This window comes from Homo sapiens, chromosome 7 (genome assembly GCF_000001405.40).
Source record: "Homo sapiens chromosome 7, GRCh38.p14 Primary Assembly".
Taxonomy (NCBI): Eukaryota; Metazoa; Chordata; class Mammalia; order Primates; family Hominidae; genus Homo; species Homo sapiens.
In genome coordinates, this window is record NC_000007.14 from 108,195,525 (window position 1) to 108,209,007 (window position 13,483).

Below are 13,483 nucleotides of genomic sequence, written 5' to 3' on the forward strand. Positions count from 1 at the left end.
AGATATGCTTGAACCCAGGAGGCAGAGGCTGCAGTGAGCTGTGATTGTGCCACTGCACTCCAGCCTGGGTAATGAAGTGAGACTCTGTCTCACAAGAAAAAAAAATATATTAACAGTGTAATGGATTGTGTGGTGCCTTTCCCTGTTTGTTTTTTGAATAAAACCCAACATATTTAGAATATGAAGCCTTTAGCAAACATTTTAAGTATTGAAAAACACACAGAGCTGCTACTTACCACTCGATGGTTGGGAGAGGAGACCCAAAGAAGGCACAGTCTAGTAAAGCAGGCCTGTTTGCAATGACCTGGTAGAGTGTGTTTGCAGGTGTGAGGATTCGTGGTGGCTCAGCTACAAATATTTTTAAAAGGTAAAGTAAATATTAGAATACATTTTAGGACTATCGTTTATTTATTGTATTTTGTTTTAAGGTCATTAAAGTTTATGGTAAAGCACAAGCAATCTATCTCTCTCCTTATGTTCTCTATCAGGCATAATGCTGCCAGTCACTCAAGGCAGAAAAATACATTTTTCCTCCCTCTACCTCCTGCCCTACTACTTGCTCAGACATCATTTTGGTTGTTGATTTACTGTGAGTCCACTGCAGTCAGGGAATGAGACTTTTGTCTTATCCCCAGCACAGTGTCTGGCACAAAAATAACAGCCAAGTATATTTTTGTTGAATGACTCACTCATCATAACCCTAGTGGGTAGGAACGGTGGGGAACACATAAGCTGGCAGAAAAAAGCAGAGTGATGAGTGTGATGGCTGAATAAATGGAACCACAGCAACAAAAACAAAAATAGACAAATGGGATTACACCAGACTAAAAAGCTTGCACAGCCAAAGAGATAGTCAACAAAGTGAAGAAACAACCTATGGAAGGGGAGAAAACATTTGCAAACCATGTATCTGGTAAGGGGTTAATACCAAAATATATAAAGAACTCAAATAATTCAATAGTAAGAAAATGAATAACCTGGTTAAAAATGGGCAAGGCATTGGACTAGACAGTTCTCAAAAGAAGATATACAAACAGCCAACAGGTATATGGGAAAATGCCCAATTATCACCAATCGCCAGATAAATGTAAATTAAAACCACAATGAGATATTATATCACACTTATTAGAATGGCTATTATCAAAAAGAGGAGATCTAAGTGTTGGCAAGAATGTAGAGAAAAGGGGACACTTAAACATTGTGGGAGGGAATATAAGTTAGTACAGCCATTATGGAAAATACTATAAAGATTATTTATACTGTTTATACTCAAAACATTAAAAATACAACTACCATATGATCCAACAATGCCATTAATGGGTATATATCCAAAGGAAATGAAATCAGTATGTCGAGATATTTGAACTCCCTTGTTCATTGCAGTATTATTCACAATAGCCAAGATATGGAATCAACCTAAGTGCCCACCAATGAATGAATGGAATAAAGAAACTGTGGCATATACACACAATGGAATACTATCCAGCCTTAAAAAAGAAGGAAATTCTATCATTTCCTTCATGTCGTTCATGTCATGACCACATGGATGAACCTGGAGGATGTTGTGTTAAGTGCAACAGGCCAGATACAGAAAGACAAACTTGGCATGATCTCCCTTAAATGTAAAATCTAAAAATGCTGAACTCATAAAAGTAGAGATGAAAAAGGAATCAGCAGCCAAAAGTGCTTTCTCAACATCCACCAATATCTTAACTGCTTAGCTCTTCATAGGATTAGTGACCTTCATTTCAAGCATGAAAGGAAAATACCAAGTATTGGTTGGCTTACTGATGGTAATTTTGTTTGAAAAGGAAGCATACTAATTTTAAAGGGCTGAAGTATAATTCCCAGGCACCATGAAAACAATTCTCACAAAAATTTTAACAAATGTGGTATTTTGGTAGTTTTGTCCAATATAAGAAATACAATGTTCACATAAGCCAATTATTTGAGAATATGTTTCAGTATATCACACTTTTTAAAATATGTTTTTACAAATAAAATAAATGTACATCTGTGACATGGATAAAGGCCAAGCATTATGATTCATGCATTAGTTTTTAAAAATCAGAATCATTGTTATTCAACTTGTCAGTGTCTTACAACGAAGAGCAATAATATTCAGTTGCTAATAGCAGACAAATGCTATTTTCCTTTTGAGGGTTTGACACTTAGTCTAACCATCTGTAAGTAGAACAGCTTATTTGACTAGTTCTACAATGAAGAATTTGCCATTGTAAAAACTGTGTTATGGAAGAACATTAAGACTGCCATATTCTTTGGGGCAAGGTTTATATCTTATCCATCCCTTATAGCTCCAAGTACTGTGCATTGCACATAGTAGATGCTCAATATATTTTTGCTGATTGAACAGAAAATAACAGCAGTCATTAATTTAATTTGCCATGTCTTTAATAAAATGAGAGCTTACCCAGCACATTTACAAATGCGTTTGCCAGTAAATATCCATATTCATTAGAGGCATTGCACTGATAGACTGCACTTGATCTTTCTTGAACATTTGAAAAAATAATGGTATCGCCATCTATTTTTCTGCTGGGGTCATCAGGGGCAACTGTTTGGATGTAAAAATAGAAAGTATTTATTCCTATTTGCTTAAAAGATGTATATTAAGCTTGTAAAGTCAGTAGGACATAAATAAAGACTGCTCTAAGTACATGCAGTAAGAATAAGACTAGAATTTAGGCAGAAACCAGAACATTTTCCTTCTCAGAATTGAGTTATATATTAGCAAGGGTATGTGCTCAATATTCATTTAGTCTTAAGTCGATTGATTCTGTAACACTAAGTATTATTTATTTTTATTTTTATTTTTTTAAAGACCTTTCCATTCACTTGCCCCTTGTATCTTTTTTTTAATTATACTTTAAGTTTTAGGGTACATGTGCACAATGTGCAGGTTTGTTACATATGTATACATGTGCCATGTTGAACACCAAGTATTATTTTGAGAGATGCAGAAAAAAAACTCTTACAAGTTTAGGTGAAAATTGCATTACAAATTCAGGAAAACATTGCCGTGTTCAAGAGATTGTGGTTATTTAGGAGAAAAAAAGTTAACGATCAAGAGGAAATAGCAAAAGCTAGTAAAAAATATAGAAACACTCCAGCTTGTTCAAACCTGTTCCTTTTAGGAGCCTCTTCTTGACATAAATAAATCAACAAATACATAAACACTACGGGGCTAATAACCAAATGTGAAAATATTTAATTTTCTGCTGTGGATATTCTTGAAGCTGAAGTATAAATAAATTGTGTAAATTCCTCTTGAAGACAATGTTTTCAGCTAAATCTCTCAAGTATTAAAACGTTAGGAACAGGCTTGATCCTTACTGAAGTGGAATAGAACTGGCTGGGTAACACAGTATGTGAGGATTTAGTCCCGGGCATGCCCAGCAATTTGGAACTTCTGTGAGATTGGAGATGAATTCCTTTCTGTGAACGATACACTTTAGGCTTTGAGCTTATATTGCTTTAGAAGTACACTAAGAGGGATTTAGGTCTCTGTCTCAGCACGATGATCAAAATCAAAACTAAATAACAGCACCTTTTCTCTTAAACTGCTCCTGCAACTTGAAGCATTTAAGAAGACTTTATGTTCTTTCTAAGCACCATTTCTTTTTCCTTGGTGAAAGGAAAAGGATGTGCATCTAAGACACACTCATCACTGTATTTAGACTCTTTTATCACTTTTAAAATAAAAAAAAATTTGTTTCATCTGTGGTTTATTAACCCACTGTAATAAAAATCAACCAAACCATAGTACATCCTTGTTTTATGACCCAAACTCGAAGTATTTGGCTCCCTCATTCTGTAATAGTTTTCCACGGTTGCTGTAACAACTTACCACAAATGTAGTGGCTTAGAACAACACAAATTTACTGTCATACAGTTCTGTAGGTTAGAAGTCTGACATGGGTCACACTGCTCTAAAACCAATGCGTGAGCAGAGCTGCGTCGCTTTCTGAAGGTTCTAGGGGAGAATCCATGTCCTTGCCTTTTCCAGCCTCTGGAGGCTGCCCACATTCCTTGGCCCATGGTCCTCTTCCTCCATTTTCAAAGCTGTCGATGTTGCATCTCTCTGATCATTCTTCCATAGTCACCTTTCTTTCCAACCAAAGCCGGAAAAGGCACTCTGCTTTTGGGGGCTCATGTAATTAAATTGGGCCCAAATTAGATAGTCCAGGATAACCTCCCCATCTCAAGGCCCTTAACCTTAATCACATGTGCAAATTCCCTTTTGCCATGTAAGGTGACATATTCATAGTTTCTAGGGATTGGGATGTAGACATCATGGCGGGGTGGGGTAGAAGGAGGGATTATTCTGTCTACCACATACTGTATCACATTTATAGCCTAAAAGTCTTTTAGATGTTTTAGACTAGAATATTTTAAAAATTCGCCATACATTTAAGTTCAGAATAAGTTTTTAGCATCCAAGGATTATTAAAACTCTAACTTACAAGTTACTCCTCATGGACTGATTAACGTCTTCATTCCCAAGGAAAAATGTAACAAAAAAGCAGTTGTTCAACACTCTGATTACCATCAGTAACTCATTTATGAAATCATCTTAGATACTCCAGGTTGTTCAACTAGTTATGTGGGGGTGTCGAGATACTTTGAATTGACTTCTTAGCTTACATCTCCTATTTATGACTCTAATAATTTCAAAATTGCCTTAAGGAACATGTTCTTCCAAATCAAAGACAAATACAAGTCATAATTCCTTCAACAGGGTATATAGATTCGTTGATAAAAGACAGCAGAGGATGGATATGACACACTGGCCTAGAAAGGGAACTGTAGCTGTGGCAGGCAGCCATGGATCCTGAAAACACAGTGTACCTTAGGGCAGCCATGGACCCTGAAAACACAGTGTACCTTAGGGCAGCCATGGACCCTGAAAATGCAGTGTAACTTAGGGCAGCCCATGTGTCCCAGATCCCAAGTCTTGTATGACTGGGGCCTGACTCACACAGTCTCAGTGATGCTCACCTACTGCCTCATCAAGGGGTGCTGGAACACAAAGCAGCATTTCTGGAGACTTGTTCTCTGTCAGTGATTCTTAGCACTTCTGGTCATTATATAAAAAAGATACTTGCACACACATGTTGATAGCAGCACAATTCGCAATTGCAAAAATATGGAACCAGCCCAAATGCCATCAATCAATGAGTGGATAAAGAAATACACACACACACACACACACACACACACACACACACACACACACACACTATGAAATACTACTCAGCCATACAAAGAAATGAAATAATGGCATTCACAGCAACCTAGATGGAATTGGAGATCATTATTCTAAGTGAAGTAACTCAGGAATGGAAAACCAAACATTATATGTTCTCACTCATAAGTGGGAGCTAAGCTATGAGGACACAAAGGCATAAGAATGATATATTGAACTTTGGGGTCTCAAAGGAAAGTGTGGGGGGCAGCGAGGCATAAAAGACTATATATTGGGTACAGTGTGTACACTGCTCGGGTGGCCGGTGCACCAAAATCTCAGAACTTATTCATGTAACCAAATGCCACCTGTTGCCCAAAAATCTATGGAAATAAAAAATAATACAAGAATAAAGTAGAGAAACAAACTAAATTTTTAAGGTCGGTAAAAAAAAAAAAAAAAGAAAAAGATTCTTAGCACTTCTGGACCCAGCACTTGGGCTCTCAGTGCTGGGACTCTTCAGGGCACTCTCGGTGCCCACCATGTGCCCACCCTGACCGCATCTCTGTGGATGTTCCAGGCAGTGGAATAGAGTGGCTGTGTATTTTAGACTGTGATGAATCCCAGGCAGAGCTCTGGGCCGAATCTCTCTGGATGGGTGGCAGACTACATAAGAGTTCCTCAAATTCCTTAAATGTATTGAGTTTTTAAAAGTTACACCACCACGCGATATTTAATGGCTAAAGGGCTCTAGTTCTGAAGATCTGTTGCACAATGTGAAAATGCTTAACACTACTGAACTGTACACTTAAAATGGTTAAGATGGTAAATTTTGTTATGTGTTTTTACCACAATAATAATAATAATGTTACACGACCATGAACTTGGAGGGCAAAGCTCAACAATGTCAGTAGGACAATTTTCCCCAAGTGGAGACTCATCAGTCACAAACAAACCATGTCAGAAAGCTTTTCTGTTGCTCTCAGTTGCACTTTTCTTTGCTATCAACTCTTTGGGAAGGTATTTTTTTACCTGAAAGGCATCTGACTGTATCTGCCTTATATATGCTAAATAGAGCAGTCTTCAAATATTTATTTTTGGCAAGGTATTTAGGAACAAAATAAACCCTTTAGGTAATAACAATGAGTAAGCAGACCTCTCTCCATGGGAGTTTTCCTTAAGTACTTGTTTAAAAAATGCAAACAAACCCAGGAACTGTCACGGTGACATATGGAGGCTCGGTTGGTAGCTGGACACAGAGTAAAATCACTAATGTAGAGACATTTGGAGCCTTTGGATGGGCTGGCTAGTGGGTAGAGTAACTCTCTAGCATGCAAATCCAAATTATCCAGAGGAATAATCATTAATTCTAGGAATAACCAACTTCATCTGCTGTCAATAAACACTGGAGAAAGAAATTTAAAAGCACAGAATCCCTACAAATAACTTAAAGCCACAAAGATAAGGTCCAGAACTGGGGTGATGGCCTTCAGAAAATACTTATAACCCAACTCTCCTGATGTTGGTAGGTAAAAATATAAACACTTTCAACATATAGATAATGAGAATAATAATAATAATCATGCCATCTTACATGAACAGAGTACGATCAATCTTTAAAATGCTTTTACATTTACTGCATAATTTCATTTTAAAAAGAACTTTGTGAAACAGGCTAATCATATAGTATTTTATGCATTTTGGAGATGAGAGACTACAAATGGCAGCATGTACTGGTTTGTTCAAATGAGGTTACTGCTCAGGTTTTCTCAGTTAGTCAACTTTGTAAACATTTCCTGGAACGTGAACATTTGGGCATAATGTAGAACACATTTCTGGGAGAAGAGTTAAATTTCCCTCTTCATTTACTTATTCCATCCCTACAAGAGGATGCCACTGAGCCCCTTAGTTTTGTGAAAAGGAAGAAGGGAGGATGCCTTGATGAAATCCCAGGAATATCCTGGACCAGTCCTCCATTCTCCTGGTGCTTATCTTACATTCCTGGCTTTCAACATCTTTCATTGTGAGAAAAATATGTCACAGTGCCAGGAAGAGGTCTTCTGCCCATTCTCATTCTCTTAGTTCTTTTCCCTCCTCATCCCTGAGAGGACAGGGGCCTTTTAACACAATAACGGTGTGATCTTATCCACGTTTCATGCAGAAGAGTCTGACAGACCTAATACAACGCACGCTGGAAACTATCAAGGATCTGCAAGTGTTAGACTCTCCTGCAGAGATAGGAATCACAGTGGCCACAGCCTTGGGCACCACCACCAGAATGGCACAGGCTCTCCAGTGGGGAAGACCAAGAGGAAGAAAAAGGAACTCAAAAACACCCCCCTCAGTGTGGCTTTGAAGTCCTGAAAAGCAACCTCCTAGGGTAGAGCAGGGAAATGCTTTGCCCCATCCTGCCAATAGCAAGTTCATTTTCTTTCTGGTCCTGGGTTCTATTTTCACACCCTCCCATTACACAATAAAATTAAAGCTCTCTTTCAGCACTAGTTCTCTGCAGCTGTGTTCTTTTATCTGACTTCTGTAGATTGTTTTAAAACTATTTTAGGTGGTTTTGGGAAATTTCCACATTTATTTAATACAGCCTGTAATTTTTGCTTCAAGGAAAGCTTTAAGTAATCTGGCCAGTCCTGGGGATGGGGGAAGGGTAAAGCTTTAGGAGACAATGAAATAAAAGCCCAGACACTTTTGGAGTTAATTTTTCCAGTTTTTTTTTTTTAAAACAACAGCTTTCAGGTCTTAAATGCAGTCACAGATCAATAACATTGCATTTTGCTAAAAGAACCCTTCTTACCATTCCCCTCCCTGAACCAGCTTCTCCTTTTACAGTATTTATGTGCACTCGGCAGCCAGAGCCTGCAGAGGCGAAAGGAGACAGTCAGTGTCCTTAGGTGCTCGCCTGCAAGTCAGGAGTGGGGAGGCTGTGTACCTGGCAGTATGGTCCCCTGACTGTATCTCTGTTGTGTGGCACAGGAGACAAACTTCAGGCACCTGGAGGGGACACTGCACAGCCCCTGACAACAGTAGTTCAGAAGCACAGCTGTTTCCTGTGCCTCACCCGCAGCAGCTGGTCCACCTGCAATTTCTGCAGTCTCTTGGATAGAAAGTGCTGTCAGCAAGCCAGCTTGTGCTCCCAGCTCACTTCTGGCGCCTATGCTAGGACCCCATGATGAAGGCAAGGAGTCTTCATTGTGCTAATTCAGCCCTGTCACACATGGTGGCAGACTGTGCCCTCAGTTCCTACCTTCACCTCTCTGCATCTCCCTGTCATCCTTCCCCCGTCTCCCAGCCGTGCTAGATGTGGGGTGCACAAGTCAGCAAACTCCAGATGGGAAGCAAGCACTGGTGCTCCGTTTCCAGGATGGTCCCTAACCCTCAAAGGCAATTCCCTTCAGGGGCCTCTAAATTCATGGGACAATTACCAAGAAGGGGATGAAAAAGAGAGCGGCACAGGGCTCCTTAAATGTCTATTAATGTTTTGGATAGTTTCTGCACCCCCCTCATTCTCTCATTATTTTGGATCAGGGGAGATCAACACACAGTGGGGGCATGCAGGGTTCACTTTGAACTTAGCTGTTGAAGACTTAGCATCCACCCATGTGGCCACTCAGCAGAAGCTGCAGATGGGCCAGCTGCAGAAGGCCAGGGGCAGGGCACAGCTGTACCTTTGCAGGGTCATCGTGCAGAAAGCTGTGCAGAGGCCCCGCTGGCTCATCATCTTTTAGTTATGAGATGTCCAAATGGTAATCCACTTTCAGCTTGGCCACCAGATGTCGAGAAAGACCCCTTCCAGGGAAGCTTCACAGTACCTTGGTATAAACATGCAGCACCTGCTACCAGCACCACGGAGCGGCCTGGTGGTGCCGGGCTCCTTGCTTTGCTGCCACACCATGTGGTATTCCTCTCCCTGCACGTCCACTAGAGTGACTGCTCTGAGGCACACCAGAGGGTGAGCGACCCTGGATCTATAGGAGCTATGGAATTCCAGCCTTGTCTTCTCAGTCTCCTTTTTTCTGTCTCAGGGGGCCTTAAAGAAGACTTTTGGGATGGAAGAGATGAGCTGATCTGATTTGAGACATTTAGTCCTAACTCTTTCTTCTCTACCTACTCAGACAATTTAGGGTTACAAGAGGAACTACTCTTTCTGCTATTACTACTCTGTACCCCCAAAGCAGGCCTTTTATGGTTGATTCTCCCCACAAAAATGTAATTTAAAAGGGGAGTGTTATTATGTTATGAGTGTATTTTCAAAGCTGTTAAGATGACTGGATTTACAAGGTTCCCTCAGAGGCACTGCATACTCTGGTACTATGGTCTGAATATTTGTGTCCCTCCAAAATTCATGTTGAAACCTAACTCCAAGGTTAAGAGGTGGGGTCTCTGGGAGGTGATCAGGAAATGAGGGTTTCCCCCTCATGAATGAGATTGGTGCTGTTCTAAAGGTCTTGAGGGAGCCCGTATGCTCCTTCTACCATGTGAGGACACATAGCAGCATCTGTGAGGAACAGGCCATCACCAGACATGAAATCTGCTGGTTCTTTGATCTTGGACTTTCCAGCCTCCAGAACTGTGAGCAATATATTTCTGTTGTTTATAAATTACCCAGTCTAAGGCATTTTGTTATAGCAGCAGGAATGGACTAAGATGGCTGGTTTGGAAGGACAACAAGCTGAGCAAATCAAGAAGAAAAATCAGCTTCATTATTTAATCCTCCCCTGCTTATGTCATCCACCCACATCTCAATTTTCCTTGCATAGTATTGCACTCTGGCTGCCAAGCTTGAGGGTTTATCCCCTAGCTTCCCCATTTTCCCTGCTGAAGGGCTAGATGGATGGTTCCTTCCACTTGTCAGTTTCACTGAGTCTAGATCTCAGGGACACTTTTAAACTTCCATAAATGGACACAAAAACTCTGAGCTGCAAAACATGGTGCAAAAGTATCAAGCATGTATCATCATTTATTGCCATTTTGTATGCATTCCTGAGAAAATCATACATTGTACCAGCTAATTTTTTGTTGATTTTTTTGTAGAAGCAGGATTTTGCCCTGTTGCCCAGGCTGGTCTCTAACTCCTGTACTCAAGAAATCCGCCCGCCATAGCCTCTGAAAGTGCTGGGATTACAGGCTCACATGAGCCACCATAAAACTTTTTTAGTTCTAGGCTTTCTTCTACTTTTTCCTCTCAGTTTTCACTCATATTCCCCTGAGAGTAGCAAGAGCTTCCTGAAACACAACCACAAAGTACTCTCTGCCATTTCTCTGGATCCTGATCCTGGTTAAAATTGGGAATGGAAATACCCAAACCCTATTTGCTGGCCTCTAGCATCTGTTTTCTCCCAGGAATACACTTCCTTCTACAGTGAAGACAGTCTGCCTGTTTCAAAGTATCTGACAGCTACTGTACTACGAGACACAAGTGAACTTCCAATAAATATTCATGGGGCAGGCTACAACGACTCAGTCACCCTGCAGTTGTCAGACCTTGATGGTAAGAAACAGAGACTTGTGCCACTTTAAATCTGCCAGCAGGTTTTTGGAACCATCTTAGGGGAAGTGTGTGTGTTACTTTGGGAAAGTCAATTCGGCAGACCTTTTGGTTATGTAAATGTAGAACCAATATTGGATTCTGACTTGGAGGCAGTCAAAGCCAATCTGTCCTGTATCATAAGCCTGAGGGCTATCTTTATTGTGAGTAAAGAATACCTTTGCAGGTAATCATGTTATTGACTGGGAGAGTGAACCTAAGGCTGGGTTTGATGCTGAAACTGACTTTCTCTGTCTTGGTGTCTAAGAGGAGGTCTGAACTCCAAGAAGGGGAAAATGTTGAAAGATGCTCCTCTCGGCAGTAGCTGGTGGTGGGTGGGGTAGAGGAAGAGGAGAGTCTAGTGGGTTCTCTGTTCATGGCCATGGCTTAGGAATTAAGGAGCAGTGAGGTGCAACATCCATTTAAAGATTTTTTCTTTGCTATAATTCCCTTGACTCTCCCCAAGCCTTTAGCCAAGTTTTGTAAAGCTGGCCTTTGCTATGATTTAGCAGATTAATGGGAGGGCCTGAAGCCACACGCTGGGAAGCATAGTGGTAGCTTGGAGATATTGGCTAATGAAGTGGAAGGAGTGGAGCATCGGAGCAGGGAGGCTGCTGAACGGGGCAACAAGTATAGCCAGGATGCCCAGGTGCTGCTCAAGGATGATAGCAGCAGCTCTCAGGGAGGGAGCACTAGTCAAAGGTAAAGCATCCTGCATACGATCAGGGTCAGAGGATGTGTTCTTCTTTGGGTATCAAATGGGACGGTGACCTTGGAAGACAGTGAGAACACCTGGGCTATACTTGCTATACTTATGACTGAAAACTCTTTATATTAAGACAGCTGGGTTTCTTATGCTTGTCATATCCATTGGCTCTATGCCGAGTCTCCCCACCTATCTCCTCTAGTGCCTGTGACATTTCTACAAATCACTTGATGTTTTGCACAAAGAAGATCATCTAAACTTTGAAGTGATATTTATTTCTGACCCTGTCATTCTTCCCATTATCCATGTAAAAAGCAGACGAAATATTGCCAAGTACCAGTCATCACATGCCATTATGTTAACAGCATAAACTATTCACATTCATAATAAATATCTAATGGTAATAAAATGCAAAGGTAATTTGGTGCCTGTGTTTAACATACATGTGGCTTCCTTCCTTAACCTGAGTTATTTTTTTATCACCATTTATTCACTGTCGGGATGTATATATGCTCTGAAAATATACTGCAATTAGAACCACTCAAGGCAACTTACTTTCTATTGGGACTCCATTTGTTAACCAGCTAATTCTGGGTTTGGGGTTGCCATTAGCTCTGCAGATCAAGGTCCCATCCTCTCCTGGGGACAGCACAAGATTTTGAGGGGCTGTGATCCAGTATGGAGCCGCTTTATAGGAGGAAGAAAAAAGACCAAAAATCTGAATCAAATAAGCATTTTAGCAAAAGAACATATTGAACTATTTTAATAATACAAGCAAGTACTTCACACTAAATTAGTCTCATTTTTTTTGAGCGAATAGATTTATAAACAATGCTTCAAAGAACACTTAAGATTTTCAAAGAATGTTTAAAGAGACTCACTGACGTATATGTATTATTTCTAGACCTGTTTGATACAAATTTCATTTTCTCATTTTATATTAAAATTAATCAGACATCAAAGAGGTGACAGATTTATCTAAGCATACAGAGAAAATTACATGTACAGGTAGGGCTAAGAAACACAAATTTAAATTCTGGACCAGGCATGGTGGCTCATGCCTGTAATCCCAACACTTTGGGAAGCCAAAGTGGCTGGATCACTTGAGGTCAGGAGTTCGAAACCAGCCTGGCCGACATGGTAAAACCCTGTTGCTATTAAAAATACAAAAAAAAAAAAAAAAATTAGCCAGGTGTGGTGGTGGGCACCTGTAATCCCACCTACTTGGGAGGCTGAGGCAGGAGAATTGCTTGAACCCGGGAGGTGGAGGTTGCAGTGAGCCAAGATAGCCCATTACACTCCAGCCTGGGCAACAGAGCGAGACTCCAACTCAAAATAATAAATAAATAAATAAAATAAATTCTGAGCCCTGTAGAATATATATAATTAGGAAGCAACTTAAAAACATCATTTTTGAAAAGTTGCAAAGGTATTATAGAGCATTTCCATACCTCCTTCCCTCAGCTTCCTCTAATGTTAACATCTTATGTGACCATGGTCTAGTTACCTAACGAAAAGTTAACAATGGTACTTAACTAAACTACACATTCTGTTAGGATTTCCGTTTTTGCATTAATGTCTTGTTTCTGTCCCAGGATCCTGTCCTAGACACCGTATTTACTTGTAACGTCTTTTGCATTTACTTGTCATCATCTCCAATCTGACAATTTCTTGGTCTTTCCTTGTCTTTTGTGACCTTGACACTTTTGAAGAGTACTGGTCAGTTATTTCGTAGACTGTCTTACGGCTTAGGTTTGTCTGATGTTTTCTCATGATTACCCTGAGGTTTTGGGCTTTTGAGAATATCCCAAAGGTAATGAACCCTTCTACTTGTACCATATGGGGGAATATATGATATCAAACATGACTTATTATTATTGACGTTAACATTCATCACTTGGTTAAGACAGTGTCTGCCAGGTTTCTCCACTCCAAAGTTACTATTTCCCTGGATTCCATACTCTGTTCATTAGTGTCCAGCATACACTCAAGAAGAGGGAAAGTAAGCTCCATCTTCTAAAGAAAGGAGTAATAA

The 13,483-nt window shown here is 40.2% G+C and overlaps 1 protein-coding gene across 107 annotated transcripts in view; it reads right to left on the bottom strand.

The window, feature by feature from the left end:
- NRCAM (neuronal cell adhesion molecule) overlaps window positions 1-13,483 on the bottom strand; it is a 309,072-nt gene that overhangs the window by 47,876 nt on the left and 247,713 nt on the right. For all 107 annotated transcript variants that reach the window (NR_163870.1, NR_163867.1, NR_163869.1 and 104 more), the window contains 3 exons: window positions 12,004-12,135; window positions 2,432-2,575; window positions 237-348 (listed from right to left, as the gene is read on the bottom strand). Coding sequence is in view for 102 of the 107 variants with exons in the window: in NM_001371122.1 (NP_001358051.1) it covers window positions 237-348; window positions 2,432-2,575; window positions 12,004-12,135 (388 nt within the window). In the remaining 5 variants the exon portion in view is untranslated. The remainder of the gene's footprint in view (window positions 1-236; window positions 349-2,431; window positions 2,576-12,003; window positions 12,136-13,483) is intronic.